Source organism: Homo sapiens, chromosome X (assembly GCF_000001405.40).
Source record: "Homo sapiens chromosome X, GRCh38.p14 Primary Assembly".
Taxonomy (NCBI): domain Eukaryota; kingdom Metazoa; phylum Chordata; class Mammalia; order Primates; family Hominidae; genus Homo; species Homo sapiens.
In genome coordinates, this window is record NC_000023.11 from 35173146 (window position 1) to 35198429 (window position 25284).

Consider the following 25284-nt stretch of genomic DNA (forward strand, 5'->3'; position numbering starts at 1 on the left):
AAAAAATTACGAAGGGTGGAGAAAGATTTATTCAATATCTTCTTAATGTCAGCCTAAATGGCTAGCTGGATAGCTGGATTAATACTTTGTGGGCAGAATGAAGTAAATATAAATTCTATTCATTTTACGGGTTATATCAATACACTGATGTTTTATATGAATAAGACAATGCAATTTACTCTAAATTATTTTTCTGCAAAAATAAAATATTTTACATTTAGAAAAAAGCATAAAACAAATACCCATACAGTTATTTGTATATATTAAGATAAACTTATAATGCATGTGATTCTTATTCTACAATCTTTTCTGGACAATGTCCTTATAGTCCTCATCCTACAGAATTGCCTATAAAATTCACTGTCAGTCAATATTGCCAATTGCCTAAAACCTTACTCTTCCCTGGCTGCTCCCATCACAGCTTTGTATCAAGTTTCCAGAAGGGTATTTAGGAATATCTCTCTGTTTATTCGACCACATGCTGAGATGACCACAGTCCAATTCAATATGGCCTCCTGGTGATTTGTAGTGTCACTGTGTCTAGCACTGAGAATGCATGAAACTTGGTCGGCCTCCCCATTTACAGGAGGTAGTCATTTTCCTTCAAGAGAAGCAAGAGAGTGGGTAGCGATTCCCAGTAGTCAGACAATTTACCAGTCTCAATTTCCCTCCAGCATCCCCTTTTGCTACTTTCAAAATTATGGTCTTCTTTCTTCTAGTGTAACACTATCCTTTCAAGGAACATAGACTTCAGAAAAACAAAATTCAAGGAGATTGTTGTTTCCTGTCTATACAAACCTTCCTCATGGAAGCATCAGAAACTGGTTTGCTTTACAGTAGAGAGGAAGTAAAATATAAAGAAAAAAGAAGAAAGCATGAACTAGTAACTCAACAGCCTTAGCTAGCATTATTTCTATGAATGCTTTTCTTTGAGTGTAATAGGATTATTTTCTGTATTATCAGCTTGAAGAAAAATAATTTTAAAATTCTTATACAATTAAAAAGCAATAAAAATTTGTTTCCAAAAAGATGAGTTTTTAGTTAATGTAGCAAATAAATAGTAGTACCTCTGGAAGTTTTCATTACATGCAATATTCAATGTGTTTCCTAGAAGGTGAAATGATGTCAAATGATAGCTCTAGCTATAAGGAAAACACATATAGTTAATTCCTTATTTCTGGAATCTTTTTTACCCCCCTTTATCTGGCTTGATCTCATGTTAGGAAATTAACAGTGAAGACTTCATGCACTAATTTTTGTGGCATTGTCTGTGACTGCCTCTTCAGTCCACTAATGAAGAAATCAATCTTATTTCCAATGGGGCCAGCTAATTTGTTCTGTCCCTGTTACTGCAGAGTATACCATTCACCCCAGCCAGCTATTCCACTTTCAGCATCATTGGTCATGGGAAGAACTGGATCAGATAACATGAAACAGCAGAAGAGAAAACATTTTTCAAAGCATCATTTATTTCCCAGTAGGGAAACGTTAACATTATCATTCCAAGGACAGTGATCCCTTTTGTTAACTCCAAGTGTAGATTAAGTCAAACCAAGGTGAGTATCTCAATGTATTCTGCAAAAATCTTTCTGGATGTAAAAATATCCAATTCCACTTGGAAATTCTTTTGCATTTTTATGAAGACTCAGACACTGAAATTGACAGAAGCAATTCATACTTTGGAGACTGGGGTTACAGCAATTAACACACACAAAACTATGTGCTGCAAAGCTTTTGGTTCAACAAAATCAATGTTGAAATTCCTTTCCCATCTCCCCACAAATAAGAGAAATATAATTCCAGGTCCTCTACAGTCTCATAGATCAAGTTATGCAAAACGTCATTGAAAGTGCTGAATAAGAGTACTTCCTGGGTCATTTTCCCATCCTGAATCACACACAATTTTTATTCATAAGACCACGTGACTAAATACATCTGGTTATCATTTTGGGGGAGATGCAAAAGGTAGGCAAGGACCTCAGTATGAATCCTCAGACCAATATGATTGATGGAGAAGTACATTGTAACTAAATGTTATCCTAAAACACTTTCTTCTGTTTACCAATTACTATTGGAAAACCCCAAAATGTCTCCTGGGAAATATCCACACACTCTGGACTATTTCTTAGCGATAATAATCACTGTATGTTTATAGCAGTCATTCTTTCTCAATTTTATGGTCCCAAAATTAATACTGTTAAGAGCATTCTTTATTTTTCTACTTAAACCTGACACTTGTTAAGTTAGGTATTTAAGTGAAGTGAGTGGAAGCACTGCAAGCAAAACAAAAGAAAATTAAAAATATAAATAAAGAAAAACAAAAGCTTTATATGTGATGCTAGTAGCAGCTTTTGTGCCTCTCCTTTAAGACAGAATGCCCCCTCTATTAACAATTTCCCAGATGCTTCATCAATTGAGTATATGCCTGTTCAGCTCCTATGTACTTAGCAAATTCATTAGTGTAACCTAAAACATCCTCCATGGAAAACTGTGACAGATTGGACAGGTAGCATGCAGTGTTGCTCTAATCGCTGGAATAAATGCACAAAATCTCTCCTGTGCTAAAATAAATACTCCAAGAAATACTTTTTTCTACTTAAATTACGAAAAGGGGAAACTAGACAATTCTTTGGCTAGCTTATAAACGATACAGTTAGTTTTAATATGAATAAAAGAATCTCCCTGACATTCAAGTACGATTACTCATTTTTGTCACTTAATCTAGGATGGAGAGTGGTAGGAAATTAGACTCTAAGTCTATTCTATTTTACTGTTGATGGTCAGATGTTTAGGGCAAACTATCTTTCAACACTCAAAACTTAGGTAAATGAACAAGTTAGTTATATGATTGCTGTAACAACACAAAGTGATGCTTTTCAATGAAATAAGATATAGATATAAGCAAGCTATTAGATTATCGCTTACATGTACATTCTCTAACTTGCATCTAAAAGTCTCTGGGTAGTATCTGCAGTTTTAACAAGTAATTAAATGAATAATGAAGCTTCAAATCCACAGTATAAGAATAGCACTCATCAGGGTTAAGCAAGACAAGGGATAGCTCTGAGGCTGTGTGTTATTAAATGAAACTGGCTCTGTGTGATTAAAGTAGATGCATGAAGTCATATTACATGTTGTCATTATAAAATGACAGCAGTGATGATAAATTTAGGTTTACGAAAAAGAAAATTGCATCTGTATAACTGCAATTCTATTATGATTTATTTTGAAATTGCCTGCTTTTATATAGCACAGAAAGTTAAAGCATCTCTATCTTGCCCCTTTAAAAGTCTCCCAACTCTCATCACATCTCTATGAACACTGCACTGTTAAAAAGGTCTCCTGAAAATTTCTCAAGTTCTTTCAATATTACAGCATCTGCCAAGAAACATAAAGTTCCATCTAAAAGGAAACAATGGTTCATGACATTTCTTATTCATGATACAGTTCATGTACTTACAAGGGACAGAATATAGATGCTGGTGTTGAACTTTGTCTCTTTCAATTAGCCTTTGAGATTTGAGGGTTTAAAATCAAATAAATGCTTTGTTATATATATTTCACTCATCAAAGAAAATACCTAAAAGGGAATCAACCTTATAATATTTCCTTCCAAATAAGCTTCTCTATTTCTATTTCTATACAGTATAGAGCTACAATTTTCTCAATTATACCAGCTCAAAAACTCAAAGTCATTTTTCAGTTTTCATATTGGTTATGCATGGGGCTAGGATCTGGGAATATGAAGTAAAAAATTCTTTCCCACACAAAAACATAGAACACACTTTGGCAGCCAGCCACCAAGATGTAGCCCAATGATCCTCTTCTCCTGGTATTCATACACTTGTATATTCCCCTCCCACTTTGAATTATGGCTGACCTATTTGACCAATAGGGTACCAGAAAGGTGACAGTGTGAGTCTTCCAAAGCTACGTTTTAGAGGACAATGCAGCTTCTGCCTTCAGATTTTCAATTACTCACCCTGGGAGAAAGCAGTCACTGTGGTGTGAGGACATATAAGCAAGCTTATGGAGAAGCCTATGTGATGGGAGCCTCCTGCCAATAGCCAGCACCAACTTGTAGGCACATGAATAAGTTACCCTGAAGGTGAATAGTCCAGCCCCAGTCAAGCCTTCAGGTAATTACATCCTTGCCCAGCATCTGCCTACAATTTCATGAGATTCTTCATGCCAGAACCCTACCTTCCAGCCAAATGATTCCAAAATTTCTGATCCTCAGGAACTCTAAGAGATAATACGTTTTTATTGTTGTTTTAAGCTGCCAAACTTTTGAAGTAATTTGTTACACACACTCATTATCACCATATAATAAGGTTCCAAATATTAGAAATTCTACCTTCAAATCTCACATGATGCCCTTCTTTCCATTCCCATGATTAAAACCATGACTCAGAACCTCATAAGCAGCTGGGTTTAGCCTTTCATTTCTCCACAACACTGTAGAGTTAATGTGCTGAAGTTACAGCTCTGACCATTTCATTCCCTTGATCAAAAGTTCTAAATAGTTGTCAACTAATTTCCAAGATTGGTTTCCAGTTGTTTATTCTTCCATTTAAAGGCCTTTTACTATACACCATCTTTATCCACTGCTTAGCCTCCATATTATGATGTGTATGCCCAATGCTGGAGCCAAATTGAGTGTCAGTCCTGCCTGTAGGTATTTTCTTATGCTCTTCCCTCCACCTGAAGGCCCTCCTTATACATTTTTGAGTATCAAAGCACAGATCAAATGTTTCTACTTTCATGGAGCCATCCTGTGTGTCCCTGCTGTCTGCAAGGGTTTTCTTACAAGGATGAGGTAGGAGAGCTGCACTTTCCTTGACCTCCCTTGCTCCTATTTCTTGTTTCTGCAGCAATTTCAACTGCTTGCTCCAAGTGCTGTTTTCTTTTTACTCTACTTTATTCCATGCTGGACTTCATCTATTTCATTTTATTATCTCAGACTAATGATAAAAAACTGCTGTTTATAGCAGACTTTTACTAAAAGTTTAAGGTAATGGAGGAGGATTATAGAGCAGTAAGAATCACTGTTAACACTGGATAGAGCTTTTGTAAAATTATTAGCAGAACTCTAAGAACATTTATGTTTTCCTTTCCATGACCATAAGTTCACGTTTTCTTACTAAGACTCAGTTTGGCAGCTTTTTCTTTTACTTTCTCAAACCCCTCATATTTCCATTATACCCTACCTCCTCTCTCTTTGGCTATTATTTCCTAAGAAGACTTATTGTTTTCCCAGCAAGGCAAATTGCTCAACCAAGATGATTTGAAAATAAAGAAACAATATCTTTGAGACAATTTTTGCCACACTTTAGACATAATGAACCATAGTAGTTATTTATTCTCAGATAATCATTTTTTGTATCACATGAAGTTTTTTCTTTCTTATCTTTTCCTGAAATTTGGTATGCCCAAGTAAAAAATAGTACCTTTCCAAGTTTAATTTAGTCTTTCTCTAAACGTTTCTAAATAAACATTTATTTGCTGTCATTTGTCTATGAAATGCTATCCTGAGTCTCAGTATATAATGAAATAAAACCTTGAACATGGATTCCTAACTAGGTCTACTGTAATGTAGGTATTTCTTTTTACTACAAGCCCATCAAATCCTCTATTGCCTGCCTGAAACTACAATTCTTAAATATCCGCTGTCAACCACTTTCCCATTGAAACTCCCTCCTCCTGTACTGAATCAAAACTCACAACAATCACTTCTCTTTTCTATTTGTGTAGATTATCTGTTCCTTGATCACATATGAAACCTTGGCTCATGATAGAAAATATTTTATTAACTCTTTTGACAGCTTGCAACGTATTCTTTTTTGCTTCTAGTAGATCTTCCTTTAAGCAGCACTTGAATAATTATTTTCTGACTGCTTAACTCAAATTATGTCATTTCCCTTCTCAGAAAGAGTTCAATTATTCTATTACCAACTAAGACATTAAATCCAAATTCATGTTGGTGGTCATTTAAGGTCCCTTAGTTACACTTCTATAATTCTCTTTCCAGCCCCCTGTACTTGAGCCTTATTTCTTCTCAGTATTGTTTCCAGCTGGAATGTTTTTAAGATTCTGCTGAGCCTGTAGCAAACTGTCCCATCTCTGTTCATCTCACCTCAGTCTTGTTTGGAGAGGAGAGCGGTTTCATATCCTTTAAGGATAGAATTACTATTTCAGCTTAAATCAACATTCCCATAAAGTAGCATTTCTCCAATATTACAAAGATTTACACAAGCAATGTATACTGTATTAGCTGAATATAGATGCAGAAAAATGTTTAATAAAATGTAGGTGCAATTTGCTAATTATGATGAAATAGAGAACAGAATAACAAACTATAAAAGTATCATTACGTACACTCATCAATAGATAAATTTCATCAATGGAGTTTAATGTTCAATATTCCTGTTTTTCAGAGGGTAAGGTAAACCACTACAGTGAGGGCAATTCATTATTTAACATGGTATTAGTAAAGTAAGGAGGAACCTTTGTGCTTCATGGAAATATCTAGGAGAACTTTGAGTCTAGAAAAATAGTGCTAGATAAAGCTTTGGGGAAAAGATATTTCAGTTTTACAAAATATAATATATGAAAAGAAAGATTTGACCCATAGCCACCTTGATCCCAGTTTTCCCATTTCAAAGGCCATTCAAATTGAAGTTATCACACAAATGGAGCTTCTTTGCCTTAGGATACTAATTACATAACATATAGTTGCCTGGTATCTGAAATTGGGAAATTCATATAATAATTATAATTTTGGTTAGATACACCTATTTCATGTATTTGTCTCTAAAAGTCCCAAAAAATGTAACGTATTCAGATTTTATAAAACAAAAGCAACATGCAAAAAAAAATTCAAAAAATAAGTAAACTATAAAACATTGGTGGAAGAAATTAAAGAATGCATAAATAAATGGAAGGACATATGTTCATGGATTAGAATGCTTAATATTTTTAAGAGCGCAATACTGCTCAAATAATCTACAGATGCAATATCTATGAAAAATCTTGTCAATATTTTAACTGCTTTTATTTCAGAAATAGAAAAGCTGATTATAAAATTGAAATGTAATTGCAGGGACCACAAATAGCCAAATAGAAAAATAAATCTTGAAAATGAAGAACAAAGTTGAAACTCTTACACTTCCTGCCCTCAAAACTCACTACAAACTATAATAATCAAAGAAGAATAGTATCACTATAAGGATAGACATACAGATCAATGGGATAGAATTGAGAGTCTGAAAGGAACTCCATACATCTATTATCAATTGATATTCATCAAGGGTGCCAAGATGATTTAATAGAGAATGAAAAGACCTGTGTCTTCAGCAATTGGCACTGAAGAAAGTGGATATTCATATATAAAATAATGAAGGAGAACCCATACTTCACACCAGGTAGTTACAGAAGTAACTTCTTTGTAGTAAAATAAAGATTTACCATTTTAAACATTTTAAAGTGTATAATTCAGTAACGTTTAGTACATTCACAATGTTTTGTCCCTTGTTCCAGAATGTTTTTATCACTCCAAAGAAACTGCACCTGCTGTCTTAGTCCATTTTGTGTTACTATAAATGAATACCCGAGGCTAAGTAATTTAGAAAGAAATCTATAAGCTCATGGTTCTGCACACTGTACAAGAAGCATGGTGCCGGCATCTGCTCAGCTTTTGGCAAAGTCTTTTGTGCTACATCGAAACAACAAAGTCAAAGGTGAAGTGGGCATGTGAGAAGAGGGACCAAACCCGAGAAATACTCTGGCTTTATAAGAACCCACTCTCATTCTGACAGAAACTGATACATTCCTCTGATAAACAATCAAGTCTTCTGAGAGACCTCACTCACTACCAATAGAATTGCACCAAGCCATTCATAAGAGATCTTCATCCATGACACTAATATCTCCCACAAGGCCCCAACTCCCAACACCACCACACTGAAGATAAATTTCAACATGAGATTTAGTGGTGACAAACAAACCCACTAAGCATTCATTCTGCATTATCCTCTCCCCCCCAGCTTCTGGCAACCACCAATATGCTTTCTGTCTCTATGGATCTTCTCGTTATGAATATTTTATATAAATTTGAATACCTAATGTGTTACCTTTTATGTTTGGATTTTTTCACATAACAAAATGCTTTAAGTTCCAAACATGCTGCCACATGTATTAGTACTTCATTCCTTTTTATAGCTGAATAATATTTGATTATGCATCTACCATAATTTTTTTTCCTTCAACTTTTACTTTAAGTTCAGGGGTACATGTGCATGATGTGTAGGTTTGTTACATAGGTAAGCTTGTGCCACGATGGTTTGCTGCACAAATCATCCCATCACCTAGGTATTAAGCCCAGCATCCATTAGCTATTCTTCCTGATATTCTCCGTCCTCCACTCACCCTGTGACAGGTTCCAGTGTGTGTTGTCCCCCAGTTGTATCCATGTGTACTCATCATTCGGCTCCTACTTATAAGTGAGAACATGCAGTGTTTGGTTTTCTATTCCTGCATTAGTTTGCAGAGGACACTGGCTTTCAACTCCATCCATGTCCCTCCAGAGGACATGATCTCATTCCTTTTTATGGCTGTATAGTATTCCATGGTGTATATGTACCACATTTTCTTTATCCGGTCTGTCATTGATGGACATTTACGTTGATTCCATGTCTTTGCTATTGTGAATAGTACTACAATGAACATACATGTTCATGTATCTTTATAATACAATGATTTATATTCCTTTGAGTATATACCCAGTAATGGGATTGCTGGATTAAATTGTATTCCTGCCTCTAGGTCTTTGAGGAATTGCCACACTGTCTTCCACAATGGTTGAACAAATTTACACTCTCACCAACAGTGTAAAAGTGTTCCTATTTCTCCACAACCTTGCCAGCATCTGTTGTTTTTTGATTTTTTAATAATAACCATTCTGACTGGTATGAGATGGTATCTCATTGTGGTTTTGATTTGCATTTCTCTAATGATCAGTGTTGTTGAACTTTTTTTCATATGTTTGTTGACTGCATGTATGTCTCGTTGTGAGAAGTGTCTGTTCTACAAGGCTACAGCAACCAAAACAGCAGGGTACTGGTACAAGAACAGACACATTGAACTATCCAACAGAATAGAGAACCCAGAAATAAGACTGCACACCTACAACCATTTGATCTTTGACAAACCTGACAAAAACAAGCAATGGGGAAAAGATTACTTATTTAATCAATGATGCTGGGATAACTGGCTAGCCATATGCAGAAAATTGAAACTGTAACCCCTCCTTACACCACATACGAAAATCAACTCAAGAGGGATTAAAGACTTAAATGTCAAACCCAAAACTATAAAAACCCTAGAAGAAAATCTAGGCAATGCCATTCAGGACATAGGCAAGGAAAAAGATTTCATAATGAAAATGCCACAAGCAATTTCAGCAAAAGCAGAAACTGACAAACTAAACTAAAAAGCTTCCACACAGCAAAAGAAGCTATTGTTAGAGTGAACAGACAACCTACAGAATGGGATAAAATTTTTGCAATCTATCCATCTGACAATGGTCTAATATCCAGAGACTACAAGGAATTTAAAGAAATTTAATGAAAAAAACCCATTAAAAAGTAACCCACTGTAATTTTTTTATTCCTTCATCCATTAGTGAACATTTAGTTATTTCCACATTTTGGCTATTGTGAAGAGTGCTGCTATAAACATTTATGCGCAAGTCTTTGAACACCTGTTTTCAATTTTTTTAGTATATACCTAGGAGGGGAATTGCTAGGTCTTATAGTAATTCTACCTTTAACTTATTGAAGAAACTGCAACTTATTTTACACAGTGGCCAAATCATGTTATGTTCCTACAAACAATGTATGAGTGTTATAATTTATCCACATTCATGTCAATATTTGTTATTATTATTTTTAAAATTATTATAGCCATCGTAGTGGAAAGAAAATAATCTCTCATTTTTCATTCACATTTTCTTAAATGACTAATGATGTTGGCAATCTTTTTATGTGCTTATTGACAATTTGTATATTTTTTGGAGAAATATATGTTCAATCCTTTGCTCATTTTATAATTGGGTTATTTGGGGTTTTTTTTGAGTTGTAGGAGTTTTTTATATATTCTGTGCTTGATCCTTATCAGATATATGACTTATAAATATTTTTCCCATTCTTTGAGTTGTCTTTTCACTTTCTTGATAGTGATCTTTGATGCACAATATTTTAAAAGGCACATTGCAGTAATAGTTATGTAGCATAATCGAAAACATGCATGCATGTGTGTAAGTTTAGAATACTTCTATAATTTTAGTTATAATAATACTAGCTCTTGTAACAGATAAGTCCCCATATCTCAGTGGCTTAAGGAAATTGAAGTTAATTTGTTGCTTATGTAGCATTTAAAATGTGTCTTTCTTTTCTAAGTGAGTTTCAAACTTCTAAGTTGTGATTTGGGCTCCTTCAAAATGGGGCTCTGCCATCTTCAACATCCTGATCTGTATTAAACTTGACAGGGAAGAACACAGAGGCATGCACATGGCAGGTTTTTATGGGCCTGGCCTAAAAGTGTAGCACAACACTTAGGGTCACATTTCATTGGTCAAAATGAAGTCCTATGGCCATACCTAACTGTAAGGGAGATAGAAATACAGTCTAGCTTTTTGTCCAGGAATAATAAATAATATGTTTATTGAATCGCTAGGTAATCTCTTTCACAAATATTTAAGAATATAGTAACTGAACTTACCTCTAGTAAGTGAGGCAGGGGACAGCAGAGAGAAATTCTTAATTTTTACCCTATAACTTTCTGTACTCTTTGAATTATTTTCAATAGTCATGACTGTTAGGAGCTGAATTAGGTCCCCCTCCAAAATTCATATGTTGCATCCTTAACTCTCAGTACCTCAGAATGTGATTGTATTTGGAGAAAGGCCCACTAAAGAATTGAATAAAGTAACATGAGGCTGTTGGTGTGCGCTCCAGTTCAATCTGTGTGATAGCCTTATCAGAAGAGGAAATTTACACATACAAAGAGACAACAGGGTCATGCTGACACACAGGAAAGACCATGTGAAGACAAAAAGGGTATCTGCTAGCCAAGAAGAGAGACCTTAGAAGAAACTAAACTGTAGTCTTGAAATTCCAGGCTCCAGAACTGTGGGAAAATAATTTCTATTTTTAAGCTACCCACTCTGTGAACAAAACAAAACAGTACATCACTTTCTAGGAACAACTAAGTTTAAAATTACCTAGAGCATCAGTTGGCTCAGTTAAATACTGACAGTGCCCATGTACTGCACTGAATTACAGTTTTCAAAATTTGCAGAGATGGAGAGTTAAATCTTTTTATCTTTTTATTTTTTAAGTAGCTGAGTTTCTACTATTGATTAGTTTTCAAATTTTTCTAACTTTACTTTAAACACTGAATATTATGACCATAAGTGAAAATTTTATGTCCTTTGCATATTGTTGTTGCTTAAGCAATAAGCAAAAATGAATCTATAGATTGTTAACTCATAATTAATTTAGGAATTTACAGATATGCTAAAAATTAATGGAAGTCTAACCACATTGTGATTGGGGTGACAACTGCTAACAATTTATTACTGACATATGGGAAAAGCTGCAGTATGGTTTTCATCCTATATTTGCTCTGGATTTTTTTTCTTCATTGCCCTGCTTTTGCATTGCCTTTTCTGTAACAGTAGTTGTCTAATTCTACACCCAATAGAATTCCATGGAATATTGTTATCCTATAGCTATCAGAATCAGCGTGTTGATTATGGAATTCTTAATCCAAATAATCCACATATTCTGTCCCCATTCCACAAAACTCAGCAGCTGTATTTTATTTTCTATTCTATTTCCATGTCCATTTGAATTGCTGTTGTTCAAATTCATGCCATACATAATTCCACTATGTAACATTAAGTCCCCAAATTCTAACAAATGCCTTTTCAGTGTCTCTTTCTTGCACACTACTCTACAGTTTGCACATACTTCTATAGCTTTGAAAAAAAAATATTCTCTCCTATAGTGATATGCTCTATCTTTCAAATGTTCTTTCATTTATGGTAATATGTTTTCTCTTTATGTAAAAAAACTAAAGTAAGAATGTGAAACAAGGGAAGTTCGGTGGATGCTTTTCAGTTTTAACACATAGCGTTCAGGTCTAGCTCATAGTAATTGAAGACGTGAGCCCCTAGTCGTACTAGCAATTCTCTCGTAATTCTCTAAATGTGTTCCTGTGGTCTTCGCTGTTCTCTGAATTTAGTCTGGTGCTTTCCACCTCTATTTTTATGAACATTTTATGTTTTCTGTGATCATGATTTGTAGCCACTCTGTGAATCTATCGTTAAAGGAGGATGGGTATTTCAGAAGCTGATGTGGGGAGTCAGGGAGCAGAGTGCTGCCTTCTTTTAAATAACTCAATACAATTGAACTGAGTAAAAGGAAACACAGTGTTTAGCCACAGAAATAGTCATTATCTTACAAAGGATTCCCCTTAGAATCTCTTTTGAAATGTTCTTTTGTGTATATATGCATAATGTATGTGTGTGCTCCCTTAGAAAATGTATGATATCCAATTTTCCAACACAATTTTTTTTCTTTTAACTTTTATTTTAGCTTCAGGGGTACATGTGCAGGTTTGTTATATAGGTAAACTTGTGTCACAGGGGTTTGGTGTACAGATTATATCATAACCCAGGTAGTAAGCATAGTACCAATAGGTATTTTTTCTGATCCTCTCCCTCCTCCCATGCTCCACCCTCAAGTAGGCTCCAGGGTCTGTTGTTCCCCTCTTTGTTTCCATGTGTTCTCATTATTTAGCTCCCACTTATAAGTGAGAACATGTGGCATTTGGTTTCTGTTCCTGTATTAGTCACTAAGGATAATGACCTCCAGTGCTAACCATGTTGCTGCAAAGGACATGATCTCATTGTTTTTATGGCTGCATAGTATTCCATAGTATATATGTACCACAATTTCTTTTTTTTTTCTTTGAGACGGAGTCTCGCTCTGTCACCAAGGCTGGAGTGCAGTGGTGCGATCACCACTCACTGCAAGCTCCACCTCCCGGGTTCACACCATTCTCCTGCCTCAGCCTCCCAAGTAGCTAGGACTACAGGCGCCTGCCACCACGCCTTGCTAATTTTTTGTATTTTTAGTAGAGACGGGGTGTACCACAATTTCTTTATCCAGTCTACCATCTATGGGCATTTAGGTTGATTCCATGCCTTTTCTATTGAGAACAATGTTGCAATGAACATATGCATGCGTCTTTATGATAGAATGATTTTCCTCTGGGTATATACCCAATAATGGGATTGCTGGGTTGAATGGTAATTCTATTTTTAGTTCTTTGAGGAATCACCGCACTGCTTTCCACAATGGCTGAACTAATTTACACTCTCACAGGAAGTGTATAAACTTTATTTTTCTCCGCAACCTCACCAGCATCTGTTATTTTTAAATTATAGCTATTCTGACTGGTGTGAGATATTTCACTGTGGTTTTGATTTGTATTTCTTGAATTATTAGCGATACTGAGCTTTTTTCATTAGCTTGTTGGCTGCATGTATGCCATCTTTTGAGAAGTGTCTTTTCATGTCCTTTGCCCATTTTTTAATTTTTTTTTTGCTTGTAATTTTTTTAAAGCTCCTTATAAAATTTGGATATTAGACCTTCGTCAGAAACACAGTTTGTAGAGGCCAAGGCAGGCAGATCACTTGAGGTCAAGAGTTCGAGACCAGCCTGGCCAACATGGGGAAACCCCGTCTCCACTAAAAATACAAAATTAGCCAGGCATGGTGGCAGATGCCTGTAATCCCAGCTACTCACGAGGCCGAGGCAGGAGAATCACTTGAACCCAGGAGGCGGAGGTTGCAGTGAGCTGAGATCAGGCCACTGTACTCCAGCTTGGGTGACAGAGTATAACTCCATCTCAAAAAATTAAAAAAAAAAGTTTGTAAATATTTTCTCCCATTCTGTAGGTCATCTGTTTACTCCTTTGACAGTTTCTTTTGCTATGTAGAAGCTTTAGTTTAATTACATCCCATTTGTCAAGATTTGCTTTGATTGCAATTGCTTTTGGCGTCTTCGTCATGAAATCCAGTTCCTGTGTCCAGAATGGTATTGCCTAGGTTGTCCTCCAGGGTTTTTATAGTTTGGGGTTTTACATTTAAGTCTTTAATCCATCTTGAGTTGATCTTTTTATATAGTGTAAAGGAGTTCAGTTTTAATTTTTTGCATATGGCTATCCAGTTATCCCAGCACCATTTATTGAGTAAGGAATTCTTTCCCCATTGTTTGTTTTGGTCAGCTTTGTTGCAGCTCAGATCCTTGTAGATGTGTGGCCTTATTTCTGGGCTCTCTATTCTGTTGAATAGTTCTATGTGTTTGTTTCTGTACCAGTACCATGTTGTTTTGTTTACTGTAGCCCTGTATAATTGTTTGAAGTCATGTAAGGTGATGCCTCCGGCTTTGTTCTTTTTGCTTAGGATTGCCATGGCTGTTTGGGCCCTTTTTTTGGTTCCATATGAATTTTAAAATCATTTTTTCTAGTTCTGTGAAGAACGTCATTTGCAGTTTTATAGGAATAGCATTGAATCTGTAATTTGCTTTGGGCGGTATGGAGAGTTTAATGATATTGATTCTTCCTATGCGTGAGCATGGAATATTTTCCCTTTTGTTTATGTTATCTCTGATTTGAGTAGTGTTTTGTAATTCTCACTGTACACATCTTTCACCTCCCCGATTAGCTGTATTCCTACGTATGTTATTCTTTTTTTTGGCAATTGTGAATGGGATTGTGTTTATGATTTGGCTCTCAGATTGGATATTGTTGGTGTACAGGAATCCTACTGATTTTTGTATGTTGATTTTGTATTCTGAAGCCTTGCCGAAGTTATTCTAATACAAATTTAATGGCCTCCTGTGTATAAATAATGGAAAAGTTTGGAACCTATTTGGAGAAAAGCGGTAAACTGTTTATTTTTTCTATAAATGAAATCAAGGGCTTTTCCACATGCAGCAGCAGACCATGATTATAATTCACAGAGTGAAATTACCACCTGAATCTTGGAGATTCTTACTGCATCAGCAAATAGCAGAATCTCTTTTGTTATTGTATGCACAGAGAGGCTCTCCTTCTAAGCACTCTTCTCTCAATGCCCCCCAAAAATGCAGAGCAACAAGACCTCCTGGGGTCCACAAACTCTGGTATCCTTACAAAAGTAAAGATAACAGAGAAGGTAATAATCTCTCTGGAAATAAGTAAAATTATTCCCTTGACATGGAAAGGATGTTACCAAAAAAAAAAAAAATCCTGTGGGAGAACAAATTGAAGCATTCTGTATAGTTTTATTTATATTTTATTTATTTGATATATGAACTCAGTCATACCATGAGTGTTTACTGAAAGTATAAAGAAATAGATGAAAAACTGTGGTTCTGTATTTTTTTCCAGAAAGTCAATATATCTTTCAATTTACTAAAACTGGTAAGATCATCTCATGCTGTAATTTATACAACCCAAGGCCTCCATTATGTATAATTTTGCCCATGTTGCTTATAAAATTTAAAACCCCCTTTTTCTATTTTAATTTGTAACAGTTTATAAGAAAGGCACACCATCATTATGAGTTGAGACCAAAAATACCACTGTGTAATCATAATATTCATCATCATGAAACTACCAACTATATTGTATTACAATAATACCTTAATGGTTAGTTTGGGGGGTTTTGTATAAATATCACAAGTATTTTATTACATGCCCAGATAATTGGGAAGGAGGCATAATAACTACTGATGTTTATAATCACATGCTAATTTTCTGCTGCCAGTAACTATGGTATTCATTTTCAATGTGGTCAGTAGGGCTCAGATATTTTATTACATTATAGTGAATATTGCCAGTAGAATATTTGAATATTGATCTTTTATATAAAAGCATAAGATTTCGAGTTTAAATTTATTAGAATAAATGGATGTGAAATCTTCTCTATTGCAGCATTATGAGAATATAGATGTCTGTATACCTAAGATATCTAAAGTTGATTTGGTCTATGAAAAGTGATGGGTACAACCCAAACTAATTGAATGGAATTACATAGTCAGTGAAAGCAACTCTTTTGACTTCTGCTTTCACAGAATTGTCTTCATCATTGATTTGGTTTCATGTATGTTATGCTTCATTAAAGGCAATTATAGAAAATGTTTTAATAGTCTGAAATGCATGTAGAATCCATTTAGGTTTAATACAACAAAAATCCTAATATTTATTAATAAATTACTGCATATGCTAAGCATATTTTAGCCATTAGATATAATTATACTCTCAAGCTAACTATACATTTTTATTTTTATTTTCAAGAAGGTTAAGTGACTAGCCCAAGATTACACAGTAGCAAGTAGCACATTAACTTACCTAAATGAAGATTCACAATGCCCTGAAATGCCAAGACTGATTCTAAGTACAGGCGTACTTTGGAGATATTGCAGGTTCAGTTCCAGACCACTGAAATAAAGTGAATATCTCAATAAAGGGAGTTACACAGCTTATTTGTTTCTTAGTGTATATAAAAATTATATTTACACTATACTGTAGTCTATTGAGTGTGCAAAGGCATTAACTCTAAAAAAAATCACGCATCTGAATTTAAAAATACTTAATTGCTACAAAATGCTAAAGATCATCTGAGCCTTCAGCTAATTGTAACCTTTATGCTGGTAGAGAGTCTTACCTCAATATTAATGGCTGCTGACTGATCAGGAGGTGATGGTCGCCATAGGCTGGAGTGCTTGTGGCAATTTCTTAAAATAAGACAACAATGAAGTTGGCAACACTGATTGACTCTTCTTTGATGAAAGGTTTCTCTGTAGCATGCAATGCTATTTGATAGCATTTTTACCCTCAGTAGAGGTTCTTTCAAAATTTGAGTTGTTCTTCTCAAACTCTGCCTCTGCTGTATCAACTAAGTTTATAAATATACTAAATTACTTGTTGTCATTTCAAAAATGCTCACAGCCAGGAGTAGATTCCATCTCAAACAAATAAACAAACAAACATTTTATTTGCTCATCCGTAAGAAGCAACTTAACTATTCAAGTTTTCCCATGACACTGCAGCAATTCAGTCACATCTTCAGGCTCCCCTTCTAATTCTAGTTCTCTTGCTATTTCTACCACATCTGTAGTCACTTTCTCCACTGAAATATTGAACCCCCTCGAAGTAATTCATGAAGGTTGAAATAAACTTCCAGATTTCTGTTAAAGTTTATTTTTGACAGTTTCATGCATCATAAATGTTCTTAATGGCATCTAGAATGGTGAATCATTTTCAGAAGGTGTTCAATTTATTTTGCCCAGATTTCTCAGAGGAATGACTATAGCAGCTATAGCCTTATGAAATGTATTTCTTAAATAATAAGACTTGAAAGTCAAAATTACTACTCGATTCATGGACTGCAGAATTGATGTTGTGTTAGCAGGCACGAAAAAGACATTCATCTCCTCGTGCATCTCCATCAGAGTGCTTGGGTGCATTGTCAATAAGCAGTAATATTTTGAAAATCATATTTTTTGGTTCTGAGCAGCAGGTATCATCAGTGGGCTTAAAATATTCAGAAAGCCATGCTTAAACAGAAGTGCTGTTGTCCAGGCTTTGTTGTTCTACTTATAGAGCATGGGCAGAGGAGATTTAGCATCATTCTTAAGAGCTCTAACATTTTCAGGCTGGTAAATGAACATTGGCTTCAAGTTAAAGTAACCAGCTGCATTAACCCCTAACAAGAGGGTCGGCCTATCCTTTGAAGATTTGAGGCCAGGCATCAACCTCTCCTTTTTAGCTATGAAAGTCCTAGATGGCATCTTCTTCCAATAGAAGGATGTTTTGCATCCATTGAAAATACATTGTTTAGTGTAGCCATCTTCATCAATAATCTTAGCTAGATAATCAGGATAACTTGCTGCAACTTCTACACCAGCACTTGTTACCTCACCTTGCACTTTTATGTTACGGAGATGGCTTCTTTCCCTAAACCTTATGAACCAACCTCTGCTGCTTCAAGCTTTCCTTCTGTAGCTTCCTCACTTCCCTCAGTCTTCATAGAATTGGAGAGACTTAGAACCTTTCTCTTAACCAGGCTTCGGTTTAAGGGAATTTTGTGCCTGGTTTGATTTTCTATCCAGACTTCTGAAACTTTCTTCCTATCAGCAATGAGGCTGTTTCACTGTCTTATGATTTGTGTGTTTACTGGAGTAGCACTTTTGCTTCAATAACTTTTCCTTTGTGTTCACAGCTTGGCTAACTGGTGAAAGAGGCCTAGCTTTTAACCTATCTTAGCTTTTAGCATGCCTTCCTCACCAAGCTCAATCATTTCTGGCTTTTCATTTAAAGCAAGAGATGTGTGATTCTTCCTTTCATTTGAACAATTAGAGGCCATTGTAGGGCTATTAATTGGACTGATTTTAATATGTTGTATCCCAGGGAATAGGGAGGCCTGAAGAGGGAGAGAAATGGGAGGACGGAAAGTTGGTTGAACAGTCAGAACACACACAACATTTGTTGATGAAATTTGTCTTCCTATATGGGTGTATTTTGTGGTACTCAATAATTACAATAGTAACATCAAGGACCACAGATCACAGATCACCATAACAGATATATAATAATGAAAAGGTTTGAAATATTCAAAAAATTACCAAAATGTGACACAAAGACACAAAGTAAACACATGCTTTGTGAAAAAAGTGTGCTGACAGACTTGCCCAATGCAAGGTTGCTACAAACCATTAAGTTGTAAAAAGTATCATATCTGTGAAGCACAGTAAAATGAAACACAATAACAAAAATTATGCCTGTAACTCTAAAACAAATGAATTAATCAATAAAAAAGATCTAAAATCTCCAGAATAAATATTGCAAAGCAGAAGTACAATGTAGTGCCATTTTTTTCAAATATTTTACCCTTTATCAAATGTTTATGAATGGAATTGACTTAATGCTAACCAAGTAGTTGCAATCCACCATATAAATATCGAGACTAATTCTCTGTAATCCTGGTTATATTCTCCTTCAAATGACATTAACTATTTTTCATTGTACTAAAATATACATAAAATTTACTATTTTAACCATTTTAAGTACACAGATCAGTGGCATTAAGTGCATTCACATTGTTGTACACCCTTTCCTAGGCATCTACAGAGCTTTTTCATCTTCCCAAACCGAAACTTCATACTCGTTAAACAATTCTCCATTCTCCCTCCCCAAGCTTCCAGCACCTGGCAACCACCATCCTACTTTCTGTCTCTATGAATTTGATTACTTTAGGTGCCTCATATAATAAGTAGAATTATACAATCTATGTCCATTAGTGAATGGCTTATTGCAATTTGTATGTGTCTTTAAGGATTATTCATGTTGTAACATGTGTCAGAATTATCCTACTTTTTAAGGCTGAATATGTCACTGTATGTATATACCACATTTTATTTATTAGTTTATACATTAAGGGACATTTGAGTTACTTCCACCTTTCAGCTGTTGTTAATAATGCTGCTATTAGCACAGACATACAGATCATCTGTTCCAGTCCCTGTTTTCAATTATTTTGTGCATATGTCCAGAATTCGAATTCCTGGATAGTAAGGTAATTCTATCTTTAATTTTTTGAGAAACCGCCAGACTGTTTTATACAGTGGCTGCACCATTTGACCTTCTCATCAGCAATGTACAAGGGTTCCAATTTCTCCACATCTATGCCAACACTTACCATTTCCTGGTTGTATTTGTTGTTGTTGTTGTTGTTAATAGCCATCCTAATGGGTGTGAATTTTGATTTGCATCCTGTAATAATTGATGATGTTGAACATCTTTTCTTGTGCTTATTGGACATTTATATACCTTTGAAGAAATGTCTATTTAAGCCCTTTGCCCATTTTGAATTGGGTATATTTGGTTCTTGAGATTTAGCAGTTTTTAATATATGGTGGATATTAATCTCTTACCAGATATGTAATTTGCAAATATTTTCACTCATTTTATGTATTTTTTTCACTCTGTTCATAGTATATTTTGACACACAAATCATTTTAATTTGGATGAAGTCCAATTTATTTATTTTTTCTTTTGTTTCCTGCGCTTTTGGTTATCATATTCAAGAAATTATTGCCAAATACAATATTATGAAGCTTTTCCTCTGTTTTCTCCTGAGTTTTATTGCTTTAGATCTTATAGTTTAGCTCTTTGATCCAGTTTGTTAAAGTTTTGTATATGAAATAAAATATGTTTCTAACTTTATTCATTTGCATGTGGCTATCCAGTTTCTCCAACACTGTTTTTCTTTTTGGCATTGAATCATTTGCCACTTTGGTCAAATGCAATTTGAATGTATATATAAAGGTTTATTTCTGAGTTCTCTATTATATTCCATGTATCTATATATCTGTCTTTATGACAGCATCACACTGCTTTGATTACTATAGCTATGTAGATTTGAAATCAGGAAATGTGACATCTCTAACTTTTTTATCTTTATTTTTATTATTATTATTATAATTTTGAGATGGAGTCTCACTCTGTCGCCCAGGCTGGAGTGCAGTGGTGCGATCTCAGCTCACTGTAACCTCCGTCCTCTGAGTTCAAGCGATTCTCCTGCCTCAGCCTCTCGAGTAGCTGGGATTACAGGTGCCTGCCACCACACCCGGCTAATTTTTGTATTTTTAGTAGAGACGGGGTTTCACCATCTTGGCCAGGCTGATGTTGAACTCCTGACCTCATGACCCACACGCCCCGGCCTCCGAAAGTGCTGGGATTACAGGCTTGAGCCACTGCACCCAGCCTATTTTTATTTTTTACCATTGTTTTGGCTATTCTGCATCCCATGAGTTTCCATATGAATTTGAGGATGGATTTTTCTATTTTCTGCAAAAATATTTCTGGAATTTGGGTAGAGATTGCATTGAATCTGTAGATTGTTCTGTGTGCAATAGACATTTTAATAATATTAAGTCTTCTAATCTATGAACATTGGGTTTATTTGCATTTATTTACATCCTCCTTAATTTTTTCAGCAATATTTTATAATTTTCATTGTGTAAATACTTATTTCTAAGTATTTTATTCTTTTTGATATTATTGTAAATTGAATTTTCTTATTTATTTTGGGGGTTGTTCACTGGTGGTGTATGAAAATGCAACTTATTTTATGTTTGATTTTGTATCCTGCAACTTAGCTGAATTCATTTATTAATTTTAACAATTTTTATAACATCTTTAGAATTCTTCACACGATTATGCCATCTGCAGATAGAGATAATTTTACTTCTTCTTTTCTAATTTAGATGCCTTTTCTGCCTTATTGCACTTTAATTATTATTTTCTGATCTAATCAATGATGATGATTAAACTCAATTGTATCAGAACTCACCCATTTTATAGAGAATTTTATTTTATTTTATTTTATTGAGATGGAGTCTCTCTCTGTCGCCCAGGCTGGAGTGCAGTGGCACGATCTCAGCTGACTGCAACCTCTGCCTCCTGGGTTCAAGTGATTCTCCTGCCTCAGCCTCCCATGTAGCTGGGACTACAGGCATGCACCACCACGCCTGGCTAATTTTTGTATTTTTTAGTAGAGAGAGGGTTTCACCATGTTGGCCAGGCTGGTCTCGAACTCCTGACCTCGAGTGATCCGCCTGCCTGGGCATCCCAAAGTGCTGGGACTACAGGCACAAGCCATAGTGCCCAGCCTAGAGAATTTTAAATTAAATATTCAACTAAAATTACATGTGTCATAGATAGGCTTACATATATGAAACAAATATAAACCTTGGATTCAAGTAGTTTATGATTTCTTATGAAGTTTAATTCTAGTACTGCTATGGTTTGAGGTTTCTGTCCCCTTCTAAATTCATGTTGAATCTTAATTTTCAATGCAGCAGTATTATGATGTATGGTCTCTAGGAAGCGATTCAGTAATAAGGGTGTTGTCCTCATGAATGAGATTAGGTTTTTAAAAAGAGTTTGATGGAAGGAATTTGCCCCTTTTCATTCTTTCCATCCCTTCCACCCACATGAGGACACAACATTCCTCTTCTGAGGATGCAGCAAAAAGGCGACATCTTGGAAGCAGAAAGCAGGCCTCACCAGGCACCAATCCTGCTGGCACATTGGTCTGGGACTTCTCAGCTTCCAGAAATGTACAAAATAAACTTGTTTTTCATAAATTGCCTAGTCTTAGGCTTTTAAAAAATACCTATAACAGTACTAGCAGACAAAGACAAGTACCATATACTTGCATAGGCATGCACCACATAACAACATTTTGGTCAACAATGAACTGTATATAGGAGGGTGGTTACATAAAATCATAATAGAGATTAAAAAATCCTATTTCCTAGTATTTACAATACTATATTTTTTATCATTATTTTAGAGTGTACTCTTTCTACTTAAAAAAAAAAAGTTAACAGTAAAACAGTTTTAGGCAGGTCCTTCAGAAGGTATTCCAGAAGAATGCATTGTGATCACAGGAGATGACAGCTTTATGTGTGTCATTGACTCTGATGACCTTGCAGTGGTACAAGATGTGGAGTTGAATGACAGCGATATTGATCCTGAGCCTGTGTAGGCCTAGGTTAATGTGTGTGTTTATGACTTAGTTTTTAAGAAAAAAATTAAAATAAAAGCTTATAGCGTAAGGATATAGAGAAAAAATATTTTTGTACAATTATGCAATGTGTTTATGTTTTAATCTGTGTTATTACAAGAGTAGAAAAGTTAAAAATTTTAAAGTTTATAAAGTACAAAAGTTACAGTAAGCTAATATTAATTTACTATTAAAGATAAATAATATGTTAATAAATCCAGTGTAGCCTAAGTGTACAGTGGGTTTTTTTTTTTTTTTTTTGAGATGGAGTATTGCTCTGTCGCCCAGGCTGGAGTGCAGTGGTGCCATTTTGGCTCACTGCAAACTCCACCTCCCGGGTTCACACCATTCTTCTGCCTCAGCCTCCCAAGTAGCTGGGACTACAGGCAGCCACCACCACACCCGTCTAATTTTTTGTAATTTTAGTAGAGACGGGGTTTTACCATGTTAGCCAGGATGATCTCGATCTCCTGACCTCGTGATCCGCCCGCCTTGGCCTCCCAAAGTGCTGGGATTACAGGCATGAGCCACCACGCCTGGCCGTGTACAGTGTTTATAAAATCTATAGTAGTATATAGTAATGCCCCAGGTTCACATTCACTCAATACTCACTCCTTGACTCACCCAGAGCAACTTCCAATCATGCATTTCCATTCATGGTAAGTGCCCTATACAGGTGTATCATTTAAAAAAAAAATCCTTTATGCCGTAATTTTACCACACTGTTTCTATGTTTAGATATATGTAGATACCCAAATACTTACCATTGTGTTAGAATTGCCTATAGTATTCAGTACAGTCACACGCTGTACAGGTATATAGCCTAGGAGCAATAAGCTATACTATGCCGCCTAGGTGTGCAAAGACTATACCACTTAGTTTTGTGTAAGTACACTATATAATGTTAGACAAAATTGTCTGAAGATGATGCATTTCTAAGAACATATCACAGTCATTAAGTGAGGCATGACTCTAATTCAAGATAGACATTTAAGAGACAGAAACTAGGTGATCTGCTGCTTTTCCCATTGTTACGATTACCTTAAGAGGCAAAGGAACCTGCACTCAAACTTTGGTTCTGATGTCTGAGAATGATGATGCCACACTCATACCAAGAGGGTATGAAACGGTTAATTACTTATTTGAAATCTCCAGGGAGAGCATGCAGGCTTAAAGTGACTTGAGAGCAAGAAAAGAAGAATTACCTGTTTTGTTTTGTTTTTTATTTTGGCTAGGGGATGGGACTGAGATGAGAGTTCCTATAAGGGCAGGAATTTGTGTTGCTTGAATTTCTTGCCCCTGTCAGAGAACAAAGAAGGTAGGTTTTCTTATTAGCTTGCCCAGGTGCAGGGCACAGAAGGGAGAGGAAAAGGTCTGGCATAAAAGCTGTCAGTTGTAAAACATTTAAAACATGGAGTCAGACTCCCTATGTAACTTTTCTACTGCTGGTGAACATTTAATTTGCTTTGAGTTTTATGTTATTAAGAATAATAAGGCTATGAATATTCTTGTACATGTCTTTGGTAAATACATGAATGCATTTCTGTTCGTTATATGCCAAGAAGTAGAAAAGCTGGGTCTTAGAGTATGCTTATGTTCTGTTTCAGTAGGTACTGCCGAGCAATTTTCCAAAGAAGTTGTACCAATTCACACTTTCACCCAAAGTCAAATTAAGTCCTGGTAGCTCTGCATCCTCATCAATACTTGATATTTTACATAGTTTTAATTTTAGTCATTCTATCATTGTTATTTGCAGGATTAAAGAAAATAATGTGTAGGGTGTTAAAATTTGGCTCTGTGTCCCCACGAAAATCTCATGTTGAACTGTAATCTCTAATCTTGGAGGTGGAACCTACTGGGAGGTGATTGGCTCATGAAGGTGGTTTCTAATGATTTAGCACCATCCTCCTAGTGCCGTCTCATGATAGAGTTCTCACGAGATCTAGTTGTTTAAAAGTTTAAAAGTGAAGTTTGTAGCACTTCACCCTTTGTTCTCTCTCCTGCTGCCATATGAAGATGTGCTTGCTTCCCCTTTGCCCTTCTGCCATGATTGAAATTTCCCTGAGGCCTCCCTAGCCATGCCTGTTATACAACCTGTGAAACTGTGAGTCAATTAAACTTCTTTCTGTTATAAATTACTGAGTCACAGGTAGTTTTTTATAGCAATGGCAGAATGGACTAATACAGGTGTTTATATATTTCTAGCCCCAAAACATGTTACCATCATCATCATCATCACCATATTAAAGGCACATTTTGTATTGCAAATATCAAGGCATTATCACATTATAAATATAAAATTAATAGAAAATTAACAAATACCCACCACAGAGAAAACTAAAGTTAATAAATTCTGAATTCTGTGCTGCTCACAGTTTTTTCTTTTTTCCTTTTTTTTTTTTTTTGAGATAGAGTCTCTCTTTGTTACCCAGGCTGGAGCTCAGTGGCATGATTTAGGCTCACTGTAACCTCTGCTTCCTAGGTTCAAGTAATTCTCCTGCCTCAGCCTCCCGAGTAGCTGGGATTACAGGCACACACCACCATGCCCAGCTAATTTTTTGTATTTTCTGTAGAGATGTGGTTTTGCCATTTGGCCA